A 20,661-nucleotide genomic window follows, 5' to 3' on the forward strand; every position below is an offset into this window, starting at 1 on the left:
AGCCTCCAAAAAGTAGCTGGGATTACAGGCACATACCACCACGCCTGGCTAATTTTTTTGATATTTTTAGTAGAGACGGGGTTTCACTATGTTGGCCAGACTGGTCTCGAACTCCTGACCTCGTGATCTGCCCGCCTCGGCCTCCCAAAGTGCTGGGATTACAGGCGTGAGCCACCGTGCCCGGCCGAGGCTCTATCTTACAAATGGCTTAAGTATACTGAAATTGAAGTATGAAAACTTTGTTCATTCATTCATTTATTCATTCATTCATTCAACAAATCATTATAGAATGTCCACTCTGTACCAACGCCCAGCAATGACGCCTGTCACTATGGAACTTAATGGTTCATTCCCATTTTTATTTGTAAAGTCATAAATGACACTTCTAGTTCAAGAACAAGAAAGTATAGATGGCTTGCTGTGGTGGCTCATGCCTATAATCCCAGCACTTTGGGAGGCTGAAGTGAGCAGATCGTTTGTGGTCAGGAGTTCCAGACCAGCCTGGCCAACATTATGAAACCCTGTTTCTACCAAAAATACAAAAATTGAGGCTGGGCACAAAGGCTCACGCCTGTAATCCCAGCACTTTGGGAGGCCGAGGTGGGTGGATCACGAGGTCAGGAGATTGAGACTATCCTGGCCAACATGGTGAAACCCCGTCTCCACCAAAATACAAAAAATTAGCCAGGCATGGTGGCAGGTGCCTGTAGTCCCAGCTCCTCGGGAGGCTGAGGCAGGGGAATTGCTTGAACCCAGGGGGTGGAGGTTGCAGTCAGCTGAGGTCACACCACTGCACTCCAGCCTGGCGACAGAGCAAGACTCCGTCTCAAAAAAAAGAAAAAAAAAAAATTGGCGGGGCATAGTGGTGCATGCCTGTAATCCCAGCTACTCGGGAGGCTGAGGCAATAAGAATTGCTTAAACCCGGGAGGCAGAGGTTGCAGTGAGCCAAAATTGCGCCACTGCACTCCAGTCTGGGCGACAGAGTGAGACTCCATCTGAAAAAAAAAGAAAAGAAAACAACAACAAAAAAAAGAGAAAGTATAGATTCACTTTTTTCTCCTCTTACCCTCTAACACCTCTGAAAATAACAAAATACCCTGGAAATCATTCAACAGACAATGATAAAAGAATTCTGAGTGCTTGAGAGAAGAAGGTAGATAGGTTAGAGACCTTAAAACTTCAGAAATGACAACCTGGTGAGTTCCCTGGTTTTTCTTTTTATCTCCCATATGACCCCAGACTGGATGCCAGAGAGGCCTGAAACCTCCAATAGGCATAGACAAACAATCAGACAGACAAACAAAAGTCTGGCTGGAGAACTGGGTAAAGGGGAAGCACAACAGAGACCAAATGGGGAGCTCTAACTCCTGTTTCACAACTGGCCACAAACAGGTGGCCTGATTTTCCTCCAAAACCCTGCTGGGTTGACCCAATCCTTACTCCACACTTGGGTAATTGGTGAGTGGGCTAATCCATCCACAGGGGCAGCATTAGCAAAGCCCAGCATCTCCCTACCCTTTATCACAAAGGGCATATAATGCACATGAAGTGACACACAAAGATAAGCCCAGTGGCTTCAGCCCCTTTTAACTCCTATGGCAGAGGTTGGCCTAGGAACATCAGGTGATCCAGGAAAGTAACTTCCACTCCTTAAGGGAGCCCCAGCAGGAATTAAGTGAGAATTTCAAAAATGTCAGAAGAATGAGGCAAACCAGAATAGAACTGCAAGGGCTCTGAAAACTAAACTGTTGTTTAGTACATTTTCTGCTGATATAACAGAATACTTGAGGTATAACAGAATACTTAAGGCTGGGTAATTTATAAAGAAAAGAAAGTTATTTGGCTCACAGTTGTGGAGGCTCGGAAGTCCAAGATTGAGGGGCCACATCTGGTAAGGGCTTTCTTGCATGTCATCCCACGTCAGAAGGTAGAAAAGCAAGAGAATGTGTGTGAGAAAGCAAGAGATTAAACTTGCAGCCTCAAGTCCTTTTATAATTGACATTAATCCATTCATGATGGGACAGCCCTCATGACCCAAATGCCTCCCATTAGGCTCCGCCTCCCGACACTGTTTCATTTGGGATTAAATTCTCAACACACACTTTTTGGGGAACAAATTCAAAGCATAGCAGCTGTCATTGGAACTACAGCTCACAAAAATGGGCCAGAAGCTAGACTAAATTGGAAAAGGTTAACTGTCTGCTAAAACAGAAGATTTAAGTGGCATCAGCAGCCTCCTAATGTAACAACCAAAGTGCTCAGGATACAATAAAAATTCACTCATCATACCAAAAATCAGGAAAATCACACTTTCAATAATAAAAAGTCAATTGATGCTAATACTAAAATAAATACAACATGGAAATTATTCGACAAAGATTTTAAAACTTTTGCAATAAGAATGCTTCAACGAACAATTGTGATTCTCTTGAAACAAAAAATTAAAAATCTCAGCAAAGAAATAGAAGTTATAAAAAAAAGAACCATATGGAAATTTTAGAACTGAAAAATACAGTTGAAATAAAAAAATTCATTGGATAGACTCAATACTAGAGTAGACATGACAGGGAAACTTGAAAATAGATCAACAGAATTTATTCAATCTGGAAAATAGAGGAAAAACAGGCTGAAAAAGGTGAACAGAGCCACAGGGATCTGTGAGACAGATATCCAACTCTCTAAAGTATCTAACATTCATACAGAGTTCCACAAGGAAAAGAGAATAAGGTGGGACTGGGGCTAAGAAGAACTCAAAAAACTAATGGCTGACAACTTCCCAAATTTAGAAAGAGACATAAAACTACAGAATCAAGAAGCTCAGTGAAATGGAACTGGATAAACCCCAAGAAATCCACACAGAGACACATCATAAACTTCTGAAAAACTGAAGACAAAAAAATTTTAAAAACAGCTAGAGATAAACGATGCATTACCTATAGTGGAAGACCAACTTGAATGATGGTAGATTTTTAATCTGAAACCATCAAGGCCATATTTTTCAAGTGATGAAAAAAAATAACAAAAATAAAAAAGTAAAAATCAGCCAAATCAAAACCCCAACTATCAACAATGAATACTACATCTAACAAGCCATCTTTCAAAAATGAGGAGGAAATAAGACATTTTTAGATGGAAAAAACTATGAATTTGTTGCTAGCAGATTTAGTCTTTAGCTAAAGGATGGTCCCCAAACATAAAGAAAATGTTAGGTACTAAATTGTGTCTCCTCCACCCTCACCTTTATATATTGAAGTCCTAACCTCCTCCAATGTGACTGTATTTGTAAACAAGGCCCTTAAAGAGGTAATTAAGGTTAAATGAGGTCATAAGGGTGGGTTGCTAATCCACTAGGACTGGTGTCCCTATAAAAAGAGGCAGGCACACCAGCTGTGTATATACAGAGCAAAGGCCATGTAAGGACCCAGAAAGAAGATGGCCATCTGCAAGCCAAGGAGAGAGGCCCCAGGAGAAACCAAACCTGCCAACATCTTGGACTTCCAGCTTCTAGAACTGTGAGAAATAAATTTCTGTTGTTTAAGACAGTTGGCCTATGGTATTTTGTTATGGTAGCACTAGCAGACTAAGACAGACAAGCGCAATAGATGAATGATTGGACCTTCAGAAAGGAAAGAATAATGGAATAGGAAAATAGAAAGGTAAGCATAATAGACTACACTTCACTTATGGAGTTTCTTTAACCATACTTTGTGTTTGAAGCCACAATTATAACACTGTTCAGTATGGCACTCGATGTATGTAAACACTTCATATAATTATATTTAAAATGTTGGAAAAGTAAAGAGATCTACATGGAAGCAAGGTTTCTTAACTTCACTCAAAGGGGTACTGACATCAGTAGGCTATAGTAAATTACATATATATGTGGTAATACCTAGAACAATCACTAACAAAACTGTAGAAAGTAGTACACTAAGAAATATTATAAATAAAAAGGAATCTAATTCCAATGAATGTTTAAGTAACTCACAAGAAAGCAAGGGAAAAATACCAGAGGAATAAGAAACAAAGGAGACAAACAGAAAACAAATAATAAAATGGCAGACTTAAGCCTTAGCATATGAATGATTAATTTAAATATAAGTGGTATACATATACCAATTCAAAGATTGTCACATTGGATACCACAGGACTTAATTATATGTGTCTATGAACCAAAGATGTAAAAAATAACAAAATAGGTAGGAAACAAAAAATGGAAAAAGATATACTATGCAAACATAAATGAGAAAAAAGCAGGAGTGACTATATTAATGTCACATAAACTTCAGAGCAAATAACATTATTAGAAACAAAAAGAGAATTACATAATAATTAAGAATTAATCCTCCAGGATAAAGCAATCCTAATTATGTATGCAACACACAACAGTGTTTCAAAATATATGGAGTAAAATCCAATAGAGATGAAAAGAGAAATAAATTCAAAATTATAGTTGGGGAATTCAAAACTCAGTTTGAAGCAATTGATAGCACTACTAGAGATAAAATTAGCAAGGATATGGAAGAATAGACAGCACCATTAACTGACTCACATTTATAGACTACTCCATCAAACAACAGCAGAATACATATTCTATTCAAATGCTCATGGAACATTCATCATAAAGACTCTATCCTAGGTCATACAATAAACCTTAACCAATTTAAAAAGACTGAAATCATGCAGAATATATTCTCTTAACCATAATTGAATTCAACTGGAAATCAATAACTTAAAGACAACAGAAAAAAATCTCCAAACACTTGGAAATTAAATAATACACTTCTAAGTAATCTATGGGTCAAAGCAGTCTCAAAGGATATTGAAAAATAAAAACAAAATGGACATAAATGAAACTAAAAACACAGCTTATCAAAATTTGTGGGTTTCAGCTAATGCAATGTTGAGAGGGATATTCATAGCACTTAAATGCTTACATTAGAAAAGAGAAAATATATCAATTGATAACCTAAGTTCTAGCTCAAGAGACTGGAAAAAGAAGAGAAAAAAATGAAATAAACAAAACAAAGCAAGCAGCAGAAGGAACAAAATAATAAAGCAGAAATCAATAAAACTGAATACATGAAGATAAAATTAATAAGGCAAAAAACCTCATTTGTCAAAAAAAAATAAAATTGATAAACCTCTAGTAATATTGACAAAGATAAAAAAGAAGATACAAATAATCCCCAATGTCAAAAGGAAAGTATATCAACATATCCTGCAGCCATTAAAATAACAAGTAAATAATATAAACAACTCTATGCTCATAAAATTGACAAAATTTGGGCTTCTGTTCAATGAGACAGGTAATAAATAAATGACAAATATCTGACAGTGCAATTGCCTAAAACCTATAAGGGGTTACTACCCAGCATAAACTAGGAACTCTTATAAGAATGAACGCACAAAAGGCAGTAATTTGGATAGCAAAATGGGGAAAGGAAATATATAAAATAGTTACAAAATAGGAGATCCTAATTACTGCTGAAGGTTGATAAATCAGAAAATAAGGGCATCATATCATTCAGGCAAATGTTTGGTTTTTCAGTAGAATTAAAGAGAACATGGTTTAAGTAGTTCCCTCTTGAGAGTGTGGCTGAAGGTGGTGACACTTGTGGTGGAAATCTTCCAATTCAATTTGATTTTTAAACCATATGCGTGTATTAGTTTGCTGGGTTTTTATGTTAAAAAAAAGGAATAAAGGTCAAATTGCTTCATCTACATCTTTCAAAAAATTAAAGGAAATATCTCACTTAAGAGTCGCCTAGACAATTATATTTATACTTAGCAAGTTATATAAAAATTAAAAATTTTAAATATAATTCCCAAAATGATGGCAACGTATTATTCACAAAATAGGGGTCAAATAGGTAAAGATAGATGTTTATTTGACAAATAAAACACAGGTATAAATAAAGTAAATCTTATATAGCAATTAAATATATCCCATTTTACTCTACAAAACATTTTTAGTAGGTTACAAGAATATAAAAATACATTAAATAAAAAAATAGATTGAGAATGAAGCAGTTAGGGAATGCAAAAATGAAGAAGAATGCATAAAAATATAAACTAATAAATATTTAATTTCTAAAGTACTTTATAGTACTTCCAAGCATTTTCCTTTTCTAATACAGATTCATTTTTTTTTCTAAAAATAAAATGAGTATATTATTGAATTTTCAAGTTAACACCAGAAAATTATAAAGAATCTAGCATTTCTCAACATTCTGGCATCTAGAAATAATTACTATTAACATTAGCTGAACATCACTCCAGACACATTATTTTGGGTATATGTATCTAACACAGATAGACAGCTAACATACATACACACTCAACAAACAGAAAGAGCACCATGAAAATGAGATCTTGCTTAAGAAAGCAGTGTGGGCCGGGCACGGTGGCTCACGCCTGTAATCCCAGCACTTTGGGAGGCCGAGGCGGGCAGATCATGAGGTCAGGAGATCGAGGCCATCCTGGCTAACACGGTGAAACCCCGTCTCTACTAAAAAAAAAAAAAAAAAAAAAATTAGCCAGACGTGGTGGCAGGCACCTGTAGTCCCAGCTACTTGGGAGGCTGAGGCAGGAGAATGGCTTGAACCTGGGAGGTGGAGCTTGCAGTGAGCCGAAATCGCGCCACTGCACTCCAGCCTGGGCGACAGAGCGAGACTCTGTCTCAAAAAAAAAAAAAAAAAAAAAGAGAGAAAGCAGTGTGATTTCGTGGTCAGGAGCACAAACACTGCAGCCAAACTGTCTGGGCTGTACCCAGAGTCTACCTCTTATGGGCTATGTGCCCATGGGCTAGTCCCCTCACCTCTCTGTGCCTCAACGTCCTCAGCCATAAAATGTGGATGCTAGTAGCATCCACCTCACAGGATTTTGGGGAAGATTAAATGAGTTAACACATAAAAAGTGCTTGGAATGGCATAGGGAACATTGCGAGCCTTCAGTCTAGGAATGTTGTTTTCCGGTGTGATTTCCAGTAGCCTGAAGGCACCAAGAGGAGCAGGAAGGAAAGGCTATCCTGGATCTAGGCTCTGTACACTGGAGATTTTGTCAGATGTTCTAAGCAGAATTTCATCCATCATCCGAGGAGGTGTTCTCCCCGGGGTCACAGGCTGCTTCCCATGACTTCTGGAGGTTTGAGAACAGCATGTCTCTTGCCTCCTCCAGAGGCTTCTGCAGGAGTGATGCATGGCAGATGGCTGGGGGAGAACATTTTCATTTCTTCACTGGCTTTTACCTCTATTTCCATCCACTCCCTTTCATTTCATTAGATGTGCAGCATCACTGCAGTGCATTTCTTTTTTTTCTTTCTTTTTTTTTTTTTGAGATGGAGTCTCACTCTGTCGCCAGGCTGGAGTGCAGTGGCGCGATCTCAGCTCACTGCAAACTCCACCTCCCAGGTTCAAGCGATTCTCCTGCCTCAGCCTCTTGAATAGCTGGGACTACAGGCGTGCACCACCATGCCCAGCTAATTTTTGTATTTTTAGTAGAGACAGGGTTTCACTACGTTGGTCCGGCTGGTCTCGAACTCCCGACCTCAGGTGATCCGCCCGCCTTGGCCTCCCAAAGTGCTGGGATTACAGGCGTGAGCCACCGTGCCGGGCCAGCAGTGCAATTCTTTAAAACTCTGCCAGCCCATCACACCCATGGCATCATTTGGTGTCAGAATCACCCTGTGAGGTAGGCAGAACCCGTACAACCGTTGTGTATTATTCATGAGAAATCCAGCTATCTAGAGGTAAAGCCAATTGCTCAAGCAAGAGTGGAAGTCTTATAAGCTCTCTGCTGTTGTAGACATCCATTGATGACATTTATGTTGAACAAGCATCGGATAGGGATGGGTCATATACTGATGTTGGGGGGCAAAGTGAACAAAGCATAGTCTCTGAGGACTTTCTAGCTGAGCAGATTTAAAAGCAGCTTCCAGCAACACAGCTGGCTGGAGCATTTCGATCTCATCAGGTGGTTTGTTAACAGAAAGGACCGACACCCATCAGCAGGTGTGAAGGAAAAATGGCTGCAGACACAGCCAGACCAATTTTATAACATAATAAGCTGATTCTAGAGTTCTGGAAGAGAAAAAGTGTGAATGTAAGAATGCCTGAGAATCTTTTGAAAAAGAGAACAATAGGAGACTTGCCCTACCAGATACAAAAACATATTAGAAACCTACAATAGCTGGAAAGTTTTAGTATTTATTGGTCAAGAGACAGACAAGCAGCTCACCAACCAGCTGTGAATACACGGGGAGCACTGGACATTGCTGGGAGAAAGGATGACTTCTTTATAATTCAGGAGTAGGGACAATTTTCTAAGCAAGGCACAACTTCCAGGCCATAGGCCGGGTGCAGTGGCTCATGCCTGTAATCCCTGCACTTTGGGAGGCTGAGGCAGGTGGATCACCTGAGGTCAGGAGTTTGAAACCAGCCTGGCCAACATGGTGAAACCCCATCTCTACTGAAAATACAAAAATTAGCCGAATATGGTGGTGGGTGCCTGTAGTCCCACCTACTTGGGAGGCTGAGGCAGAAGAATCACTTGAACCCTGGAGATGGAGGTTGTAGTGAGCAGAGATCACACCATTGCACTCCAGCCTGGGCGACAGAGAGAGATTCCATCTCAAAAACAAAAACAAAAACAAAAACAAAAACAAAAACAAAAAACCTTCCAGGCCACAATGAAAGAGATTGGCAGATTTGACAAGACAAATATTTGAAACAAGAGACAACAAATTCAATAACAGAAAGAAAAAATGTTTGGAATAAAGATGACTTACAAAATATTTGTTGGCCGGGCACGGTGGCTCCCAGCACTTTGGGAGGCCAAGGTAGGTGGATCACCTGAGGTTGGGAGTTCAAGACCAGCCTGGCCAACATGGAGAAACGTGGTCTCTACTACAAATACAAAAATTAGCCAGGCGTGGTGGCACATGCCTGTAATCCCAGCTACTTGGGAGGCTGAGGTAGGAGAATCGCTTGAAACCGGGAGGTGGAGGTTGCAGTGAGCTGAGATCATGCCACTGCACTCCAGCCTGGGCAACAAGAGAGAAACTCCTTCTGAAAAAAAAAAAATGTTGGTATCTATCAAAGGCTTTGGAAGCCCTTTGACTCAGCCATTCCAATTCTAGGAATCCATACCCCAGAAACACCTGCAGATCTACGTAACGTTACAGGATCAAGGATGTTCATTTCAGCATTGTTTGTAATAGGGAAAAAAAAGAAACTTAAATGTCTATGAAAAGAAAATGGGTCAAATAAATTGTACTACATCCAAACTACAGAATACTCTGCAAGAATAAAAGGGAATGGGCTGGGTGCGACGGCTCACGCTTGTAATCCCCACACTTTGGGAGGCCGAGGCAGGTGGATCACGAGATCAGGAGTTTGAGACCAGCCTGACCAACATGGTGAAACTCCATCTCTACTAAAAATATGAAAATTAGCCGGGCATGGTGGCGCACACCTGTAATCCAAGCTACTCAGGAGGCTGAGGCAGGAGAATCGCTTGAACCCAGGAGGCAGAGATTGCAGTGAGCCGAGATTGAGTCTCTGCATTCCAGCCTGGGTGACGTAGTGAATGAAGTAATGCTATGGAAATGTTCCTACATTAAATCAGAACAACAAAATTGCTCTATTTATGTTTTGTAAAAAGCAATTTGAATACAGGTACATATGTAAACGTTTAGAAACCATTCTCGGAGGATAGCCAACAAACTGTTAAGAGAGTTACCTCTGGAGAAGGGAGTAAAATTGGGTGAAAACAGGATTTTCAAGATTTATTCTTCAGGCCTCCTTACTGTTTGGATGTTTAATACGAATGTATACCACTTGTGTAATGTAAACAACGTACACAACAGAAGCAAGGCTTCTTGTCTCTAGAAACAACAAATAAGGAGCTCCCAGGCCCGTGTTAAGTGATAGAGTTAGATGAAACACACACCCTGAGCCAGGAGGGCCACACAGGCACCAGGTGAGGAGAAACAGACGAGGAACAATGGACAGCGCACAGTTACTGACCCCTGGTCGTGCTCAGCTCCAGGCAGAGATTGTGGGCATCCGCACCAGGGCAAAACAAGGGTTTTGTCTTCACTTGAACAAAAGAAATCAAGAGTTTTGAAAAGGTCAATGCGACAGCCATTAGGACTGTATCTTCCAAAGATCTGGAGGCTGTGGAAATGAGAGGCTGAGATGCACACTGCTGCTCAGTCCTGTTCCAACCCAGTGTCCACTCAGAAACCTTCCCAGGACTCTCCCACGAGGCCCTGCACTGAGGAGGGGGCAGGGGACTTCTTCCTGAGGAGGGCCCTCAGGCTTGTGTGTGTGGAGGGCAGCCTCACACTCAATTTATTCGCTCTGAGCTTGCGGGCTGAGGTAAGGCTAAGCTGCAGATAGGACTCTTTGTCACCTGGAAGGGTTGGGAAAGCCCACAGACAACACCAGCCTCCCAGACTCTCACTTCTGGAGGCATGGTCTCCGTGCTGGGATGCTTTTAGTGATCTGAACAGAGTTCTCTTTCACTTGTTAACTTTCTTAACAGGGTGGGAGGTGCAGAGGTCGATGAGGAATTTACTGCCAGGATATCTGGATTTCTGTGTAAGAGCCAGGAAGCTGGTTCTAAAGCTGTGCATGTGAATTAATAGGGACAGAAATATTCCTTTCTCTAAAGCAGGGGTATCCAACCCCCAGGACGTGGACTGGTTGGTACCAGTCCCTGGCCTGTTAGGATCTGTGCCGCACAGGAGGAGGTGAGTGAGAGCCAGCCAGCATTACCACCTGAGCTCTGCCTCCTGTTACATCAGTGGGGGCATCAGATTCTCATAGGAGCGCGAACTCTATTCTGAACTATGCATGTGAGGGCTCTAGGTTGCGCATTCCTTATGAGAATCTAATGCTTGATGACCTGGGGTGGAACAGTTTTATCCCAAAACCCTCAACTCCCCGCGTCCCCCACTCCCGGGCCAAAAAAGTTGGGGACCGCTGCGCTAGAGGATGAACAGCAGGAAACGCAGCTGCAAAGAAATCGCTTCAAAGCCATTAATTAGGGAAGGGATAATATTGAATTTTGGGGGACAGAGACACTCCAAGGATAAATAACAAGAGTTCCAGGAATGGAATGCAACGTTTGAAGCTTTTGGTTTGCACACCTTGGTCAAAAAGAACACTGGCACCATGGCTCACACCTGTAATCCCAGTGCTTTGGGAGGCCCAGGCAGGAGAATCACTTGAGGCTAGGAGTTCAAGACCAGCCTAGGCAACATACCAAGACCCCATTTCTCTAAAAAATGTTAAATGTTACCCAGATGTGGTGGTGCACGCCTACTCAGGAGGCTGAAGTGGGAGGATTGGGAGTTCGAGGCTGTGGTGAGCTATGATCGCACTATGCACTTCAGCCTGGGTGACAGCATTAGCCATCTCTAAAAACAAAAACTAACTGGTTAGTGTGGACAAGAACAAAAGGGATTTTGCACTTTTCTAGAGGGAGGTATGTGTAGTAATTTCTCAGTGACTGAGGTGTGTCTGGAGCCAAGTAGAGTTTCCCAATCTGGCCTGGGGAAAATGCTATGAGAAGAGGAGGATTTGACAGTCCTGAAAAATACAGTTCTCCAGTGCAACCCCCTATTTTGTAGGTGAGGATGTGTTCAGCGAAGATCATGTCCCCAGACTCGTGGCTAGGACTAGACTGGGATAGAGCTCTGTGTTGTAAAACTTGCCTCTTGCTGCCTCCTTGCTCTCAGTGTGGCATCTTGCCTCTGTGCGTAGACATGCCACCTGTCCCACATCACAGACTTCTTTCTAAATGTTTGTTATGGGCAGCCCAGATAAGAAACTCTTTGCTATAATGACAGAAAGAAAGTTGATTCATTAACACCTCTGTTTATTGTCCAAGGCTGGGCTTGCACTTGACTCAATGGGTTTTAGTATATTCACAGAGTTGGACAGCCATCACCATGACCATTTTTACAACATCTCCATTACCCCAGAAAGATCCCTCCAGCTGGTTTTGTCAATCCCATTTTCACTGCTAGCTGTGGCCAACTACAAAACCTATCTTCTGTCTCTTTCAATTTGAGTTTTTTTTTTTTTTTTTGAGACGGAGTTTTGCTCTTGTTGCCCAGGCTGGAGTTGCCCAGGCTGGAGTGCAATGGTGCAATCTCAGCTCACTGCAACCTCCACCTCCTGGGGTCAAGTGATTCTCCTGCCTCAGCCTCACAAGTAGCTGGGATTACAGGCACGCACCACCACGCCTAGCTAATTTTGTGTTTTTAGCAGAGACGGGGGTTTTCTTCATGTTGGTCAGGCTGGTCTCAAACTCCCAACCTCAGGTGATCCACCCACCTCGGCCTCCCAAAGTGCTGGGATTATCAGGCATGAGTCACTGCGGTCGGCCTCAATTTGCTTTTTCTGGACATTGAATATATATAGAATCATACACTATGTGGTCTGGTCTATTGCATCTGGTTTCTTTCAGTTAGAATGTTTTTGAGATTCATTCATGTTGAAACATTTTGTCCATAGTTCATTTCCTTTTTTGCTGAATTATATTCCATTGTGTGGACATACCACACTCTGTTTATTCATTCACAAGTTGATAGGTGGTGTGGTTTGGCTGTATCCCAACCCAAATCTCATCATGTAGTTTCTCTAATCCCCACGTGTTGTGGGAGGGACCCAGTGGGAGGTAACTGAATCATGCTGCTGTTCTCATGATAGTGAGTGAGTTCTCATGAGATCTGATGATTTCATAAGGGACTTTTTCCCTTTGCTTGGCACTTCTCCTTCCTGCCACCATGTGAAGAAGGACATGTTTGCTTCCCCTTCTACCATGATTGTAAGTTTCCTGAGGCCTGCCCAGCCATGTTGAAGTGTGAGTCAACTAAACCTGTTTTCTTTATAAGTTACCCAGTCTCAGGTATTTCTTCATAGCAGTGTGAGAACAAGCTAATACAGTAGGCATTTGGACAGATTCCAGTTTTTCACCATCATAAATAATGCTGCTGTTAGCATTTGTTTACAAGTTTTTGCATAAACATATGTTTTTGTTTCTCTTGGGAGCAGAATTGCTAGGCCATATTGCCTTAGTCTGTTTGGGCTGCTATAACAAATACTGTAGACTGGGTGGCTTATAAACAAGATCTTTATTTCTCACTGTTTTGAGGGCTGGAAAGATGAAGATCAAGGTGCCAGCAGGTTTGGTGTCTGATGAGGTCTTGCTTTCTCATAGATTATGCCTTGTTGCTCTGTCCTCACATAGTGGAAGAGGCCATTGGATTTCCTTGGGCTTTTTAGGGACATTAATTCCATTCATGAGGGCTCCACCCTTGTGATCTAATCACTTCCCAAAGGCCTTGACCTTTACTAGTATTATATTGGGGAATAGGTTTCAACATAGAAATTTCAGGGGAACACAAACATTTAGACTATAGCACATGACACATTTGTAAACTTTTTAAAGAAACTGCCACATTGTTTTCCAAAGTGATAACACCATTTTACATTTCTACCAGCCATATATCAAGTTTCTCTTTTTCCATATCTTGGCAATACTTGGTATTTTCTTTTCGACTATTCTAGTGGGTGTGTAATGATGTTGCTTCGTAGTTTTAACTTCCATTTTTTTGATGCCTAATAGTGTTAATAACTCTTTCATGTGCTTATTATCATTTCTATGGCTCTCATGTTGAAATACCAACTCTTTCACCCATTTGTAAATTGGGTTTTAAAATTTCTTATGACTGAGTAGTAAGTGTTCTTTATATATAGTTGGATACACATCCTTTATAAGTATATAATTTGCAAATATTTTCTCACAGTCTGTGGCTTGTTTTCATTTCCTTCATGGGGGTTTTGGAAGATCAAAAGTTTTTAATTTTAATGAAATCCAGTATATCAATTTTTTTCTTTTCTATCTCATGCTTTTGGTATTTCATATGTAAGCACTTTTTGCTTAACTCAAGATTTAAAAGATTTTCTCCTAGAAGTTTTGTAGTTTTAGTTCTTACATTGATGTCTATGGACAATTTGAATTAATTTAGATATACAAAGTAGGTCTAAGTTTTTTGTTTTCAAATAGATTCTGTTATTAGTTTCCGATGGCCTCTGTAACAAATTAGTGCCAACTGGTGGCTTACAACACTAAGACTTGATTTTCTCACTGTTTTGGAGGCCAGAGTCTGAAATCAAGGCATCAGAAAGAGATGCCCCCTTGAGGGCTCCAGGGAAGAATGGGTGCCTTGCCTCCTCTACCTTCTGGTGGCTGTTGGCATTCCTTGGCTTGAAGTTGGTATCTCCTATTTCTGCCTGTTTTCACACTGCCTTCTCCTCTCTGGGTGACCCCATCTATGTCTGTGTCACCTCTTTCTGCCTGTATCTTACAAGGACTCTTTGATGGTATTTAGGGCCTACCAATGTAATTCAGGGTAAGCTCATATCAAAATCCTTAACCATCACACCTACACAGATTCCCTTTTTTCCAGAGAAGGTAACATTTACAAGATCTGGGGATTAGGACTTGATTCTTCAGGTGGCCATCATTTAACCTACTACAATATCAAATTCTCCCAGTGACGTCTGTTAAGAAGACTATCATTTCCTTATTGAATTGTCTTGGCACTTTGTTGAAAGTCAACTGGCCCTAAATATAAGGGTTTATTGATTTCCAGACGCTCGATTCTGTTCCATGGATGTATCCTTGTATTAGTAAAACACACTGTCTTGCTATTGCAGTATTATGGTAAGTTCTGAAATCAGATAACGTAAATTCTCCAACTTTGTTCTTTTTAAAAATTGCCATTGACTACTGTAGGGCCTTGTATTATATTTTCACATACATTTTAGGTCCAGCTTATCAATTTCTGTGCAAAAATTTGCTGGCATCTTGATGGGAACTGAATTGAAACTATAAATTACTTTGGGATATGTTCTAGTCCATGGAATGGCTCTCCATTTATTTAAATCTTAATTCTTTTTCTTTTTTTTTTTTTTTTGAGATGGAGTCTTGCTTTGTTACCCAGGCTGGAGTGCAGTGGCGTGATCTCGGCTCACTGCAACCTCCGTCTCCCAGATTCAAGCAATTCTCCTGCCTCAGCCTCCCAAGTAGCTGTGATTACAGGTGCTTGCCACCATGCCCAATTAAATTTTTTTGCATTTTTAGTAGAGACAGGTTTTCACCATGTTGGCCGGGCTGGTTTCGAACTCCTGACCTCAAATGATTTGCCTGTCTTGGCCTCCCAAAGTGTTAGGATTACAGGCATGAGCCACCACGCCCAGCCAATCTTTTTTTTTTTTTTTTGAGACAGAGTCTTGCTCTGTCTCCCAGGCTGGAGTGCAGTGGCGCCGTCTCGGCTCACTGCAGCCTCTGCCACCCGGGTTCAAGCAATTCTCCTGCCTCAGCCTTCTGAGTAGCTGGGATTAGAGGCGTGCACCATCACACCTGGCTAATTTTTGTACTTTTAGTAGAGACGGGGTTTCATCATGTTGGCTTGGATGGTCTTGATCTCCTCACCTCATGATCTGCCCGCCTCGGCCTCCCAAAATGATGGGATTACAGGTGTAAGCCACCATGCCTGGCCTGCCAATCTTAATTCTTATAGCAATGTTTTGTAGTTTTCAGTGTATAAGCCTTATATATTTTTGTTAAATTAATTATTATTTTATTCTCTTTGACATTATACATAGAATTGTTTTTTAAACTGGATGCTTTCCAATCTGGATGCTTTTAATTTTCTTTTTTAGCTTTATTATATAGGCTAGATTCTTGAACACCGTTTTGAAAAGGAGTTAAAGATATTTGTGTCTATGTTCAGGAGGGAAATTCATATGCAGTTTTCTTGTAATTTGTCTGGCTTTGGAATCAACATAATAATAATCTCATACAATGAATTGTGAGATGTTGCCACCTTCTCAATTTTTCTGAAAGAAATTTGTGAGTGATTAGTACTACTTTTTCTTTAAATATTTGACAGAATTCCCTAGTGTCTACCTGTACATGGATATTTTTGTGAAAATATTTTAAATTATTAATTCAATTTCTTTAGTTGTGATAGTCTATTAGATTTTCTATTTATTTATTTATTTTGAGACAGGGTTTCAATCCTGTTGCCCAGGCTGGAGTGCAGTGGCGCCATCTCAGCTCACTACAAGCTCTGCCCCTCAGGCTCAAAAGTGATTCTCTCTGGAGTTGCTGGGACTACAGGCGCATGCCATGGAGCCCGGCTAATTTTTGTCTTTTTAGTAGAGACAGGGTTTCACCATGTTGGCCAGGCTGTCTTGAACTCCTGACCTCAAGTGATCCACCCACCTCAGCCTCCCAAAGTGCTGAGATTACAGGCGTGAGCCACCACCCTGGCAGATTTTCTTTTTATTCCAGAGTTTGATAATTTGCGTCTTTCTTGGAATACATTCGTGTCATTTAAGTTGTCTAGTTTCTGTGGGATTGGTAGTGATGTTACCTCTTCAGGTCCTAATTTTGGCAATTTATGTCTTCTCTGTTATTTTCTTGGTTAGTCCAGTTAAAGGTTTGTCAGTTTTGTTGATGTCTTTTAAAGAAAGTCTTTTGATTTCATTAATTTTCTTTATTTAAAAAAAGTCCTCTCTTTCTGCCCTCCCTCTCCCACATGCTGGTCTGCAGAGCCCTCCTCCCAAGGGGTAGGGCCCTGGGTGGAGCTCAGCAGAGTCAGCCCACTACCCACGCTGGCCCATACAGGCCTCCAGGAGCCCTGAGAGGGACCAAGACCCCTAGAGTGTGGTGGGTGCCGGCCCTGCCTGAGGACCAGTCGGGGATCTTTATGCAGATCTACCTCTGGTTCAGCGCACGCCCCCTGCCCTGAGAACAGGAAAGGGCCCGGAAGGACTGGCTCACACGGAAATAGGATGCACTTTATTTACTGGTGCAAAGGCAAGTGAGGGTGCCTCCTGTGTGACTGTTGGCCTTCCTGCCTGGTGGCGCTGAAGGGAAGGAGCCAGTGAGCCTGACCCCAGGAAGGGCCGTCCCCGTGTGCCCTGCTTGGCGGGCCCCAGGCGGCTCCCCCAGGCCCGGGTCAGGGGCCCCAGGCTCTCCCCTGCCTCGCGGCCGCGCGTCCTGTGCTTTGGGTTTCTTGGTTTGGGTTTTTTTAATGCTAGTTCTCAGTACATAAGCGCATTTTGAAAGAGGTTCCAGCCATCACTTGTAACCATGTATATATACATATATAGTCTATCTACAAAGTGTTTATTTGCAAGATGTTTCGACGGTGAACTCGGGCCCCGCCCGCCTTGTGACCATCTGTCCCCGGTCCTCGTCCCCGCCCCGTACCCTGGTCCCGAGTAGCCTGGGGACGAGCCATCACTGTATGTATTAAAATGACTGTATCAAATAAATGTTTATTGATATTTTTCCAAAAAAAAAAAAATCCTCTCTAGGCCAGGCACGGTGGCTCACCCCTGTAATCCCAGCACTTTGGGAGGCTGAGGCAGGAGGATCACAAGGTCAGGAGATCGAGACCATCCTGACTAACACGGTGAAACTCCGTCTCTACTAAAAACACAAAAAAATTAGCCGGGCGTGGCGGCGGGCGCCTGTGGTCCCAGCTACTCGGGAGGCTGAGGCAGGAGAATGGCGTGAACCCGGGAGGTGGAGCTTGCAGTGAGCCAAGATCGCGCCACTGCACTCCAGCCTGGGTGACAGAGCGAGACTCCGTCTCAAAAAAAAAAAAAAAAAAAAAAAAAGCCTCTCTAATCTTTATTTCCTTCCTTCTACTTGCTTTGGGGTTTTACTTTAAGGCAGAAGCTTAGGTTATTACTGGGATGTTCCTTTTCTGATACAGGCATTTAAAACCTGTATAAATTTCCTCTTAACCACTGCTTTAGCTGCCTCACATAAACTTTGATTTGTTGGCCTGTGATGGCAGCACGAGAGCAGAATATGAGCTGTGGCTGCTACAGGAGTCATGGCAGGACCAGCATTTGGAAAGTTTCTTCCACTCTTTGGAAGAAAGTATTGGTTGAAAGGCAAATATTGGTTGAAAGGAGTGCAGCAGAAACTGTAACCAAAGGAGACATTAGGCTTCCAGAAAAATCTAAAGGAAAAGTATTGCAAGCAATAGTAGTGGCTGCTGGATGAGGCTATAAGGGAAAAGGTGGAGAGATTCAACCAGTTAGCATGAAAGTCAAAAATAAATTTCCTCCAGAATATGGAGACACCAAAATAGTTCTAGATGACAAGGATTGTATCTTATTAAGAGATGGCAGACATTCTTGAAAAGTATGTAGACTGAAACAAATCACTATTGAAATGGCATCAACATGAAGCTGCCCACTGAAATTCTGTAATCTTTCATCATGCAAATAATGTTTTTTATAATAAAACTAGTAACTACATTTTTTTGATATATTGCATTTAATTCATTCAGTTCGTAACATTTAAAAACCTCCTTTGTGTATTTCTTTGATCTGTGGGTTATTTAGGAGCATACCAGTTAATTTGAGTGTTTTCCAGTTGCCTTTCTACTGTGGATGTCTGATTTAATCATATTGTGGACAGATAATATACTTTTTATGACTTCAATCTTTTTAGATTTACTGAGACTTGTTTTATGGCTCAGCATGTGGTCTATCCTGGAGAATATTTCATGTACACTTGAAAAGACTATGTATTTTGGAATCTCTGGGTGAAGAGTTCTTTCTTACCACACCCAGCTAATTTTTGTATTTTTGGTAGAGACAGGGTTTCTCCACGTTGGTCAGGCTGGTCTTGAACTCCTGACCTCAGGTGATCCACCTGCTTCGGCCTCCCAAAGTGCTGGGATTACAGGCGTGAGCCACTGTGCCCAGCCATGTTTAGCTTTTCTTGTCTCTTGTATATAGCAGAGTTTGTGTTTTGCTTTGTGAACCAATTTGAAAATTTTTTCTTGGAGTAGAAATAAAGTGCATGGGCCAGGTGCAGTGGCTCATGCATGTAATCCTAGCATTTTGGGAGACCGAGGTGGGCACACTGTTTGAGCCCAGCAGTTTGAGATCAGCCTGGGCAACAGAGTAAAACTCTGTCCCTACAAAAATATTTAAAAAATTAGCCAGGCATTGTGGCCCACACCTGTAGTCCGAGCTACTCAGGAGGCTGAGGCAGGAGGACAGCTTGAGCCCAGGAAGTTGAGGCTGCAATGAGCTGTGATTGCACCACTGCACTCCAGCCTAGGAAACAGAGTGAGACCCTGTGTCAAAAAAAAAAAAAAAAAAAAGTAAGTGGATGCCCATTCACTGTATGATTAATATGCTTAGTCTCACCTCATGCTATTTTGTTGTATTTTTAAAAATTTTTTATAGATTCAGGGGGTACAGTGCAGTTTTGATACTTGGGTGTATTTTCTGTGTGTATTGCATTATATTTATTATTTTTCCCCTGTATAGGGTCTAATTTTGCTTTTTTTTGAATTTAGGAAGTTTTATGTTTTTATTCTACTAGTTATCTTTATAATACAACTTCCTATAATGTACCTAATCCCGTTTTTGTACTTCTAGCATTCCATTTGTCTAAATATTTTTCTACTGTACCCCACCTATTTACATAATACACTATAAGTAAATTATTTTTTTTCAACTTTTAGATTTAGGGGTACATATGCAGGTTTCTTACCTGGGTATACTGCATGATGCTGAGGTTTGGGGTACAAATGATCTCATCATCAAGGTGTTGAGCATAGTACCCAATGGTTTTTCAACCCTTGCCCTGCCTCCTTCCTTTCCCACAGTCAGTATGTATTGTTCCCATCTTCACGTCCATGAGTATGCGGTGGTTAGCTCCTAAGTGAGAACATGCTTTATTTGGTTTTGAGTTAATTCGCAAGGTATAATTTACACACATTAAAGTATTTTACTTTTTAAAAACTCCAATCTCATGACAGATTATCATTCTGCTTTTTTTCTTTGAGACACGGTCTCACTCTGTTGCCCAGGCTGGAGTGCAGTGCTGGAATCACAGCTCATGACTGCCTTGACCTCCTAGGCTCACATCATCCTCCTGCCTCAGCCTCTCAAGTATCTAGGACTACGGGTGCACACCACCATGTCTGGCTTTTATTTTTGTAGACATCAGGTCTCGCTATGTTCCCCAAGCTGGTTTCAAACTCCTGATCTCAAGCAGTCCTCCTGCCTTGGCCTTCCAAAATGCTGGGATTACAGGTGTGAACCACCATGCCCGGCCTTGCATTTCTTAATCAGATGCTTTCCCCTAGTGGTTCCCTCAGGAAGGGCTCAAAAAGAAGTATTAAATTCTAATTTTAAATTGTTTTTCTATAACTTTGTTACTTGAAAGACTGCTTTGTGGAAATAAAATCCTTGAATCACATTTCCTTCTTCCTTCAAATCTCTAGAAAATGTTGCTGTCGAGATGAGTTATTTTATCTGTGTTCCATCATCCTTAAGCTTCCTACTCCTCTTCACCAGGAAATAAGTAAGGAAATGAAGTTTAAGCATCCTCCATAGCTTAACCCATACTGTTAGGTGTACGTTATGAATGTTTTTATTTGATGTCATCATAGGGACAGTGTTTTGGAAAGATGCATGGAGATATTCAGATTTACATGTTGGACATCTCTATCTTCTGGGACTAAGGTTTTATGCCCACAAGGAAAGATGGCATGAGGCCCACACATCAGATGATTATTATTTCATAGACTT

The 20,661-nt window shown here is 41.4% G+C and overlaps 1 pseudogene; it reads left to right on the top strand.

The window, feature by feature from the left end:
• On the top strand, positions 17,937 to 18,260 carry HSPE1P22 (heat shock protein family E (Hsp10) member 1 pseudogene 22; annotated as a pseudogene).

The sequence above is a fragment of the Homo sapiens genome, chromosome 9 (genome assembly GCF_000001405.40).
Source record: "Homo sapiens chromosome 9, GRCh38.p14 Primary Assembly".
Taxonomy (NCBI): domain Eukaryota; kingdom Metazoa; phylum Chordata; class Mammalia; order Primates; family Hominidae; genus Homo; species Homo sapiens.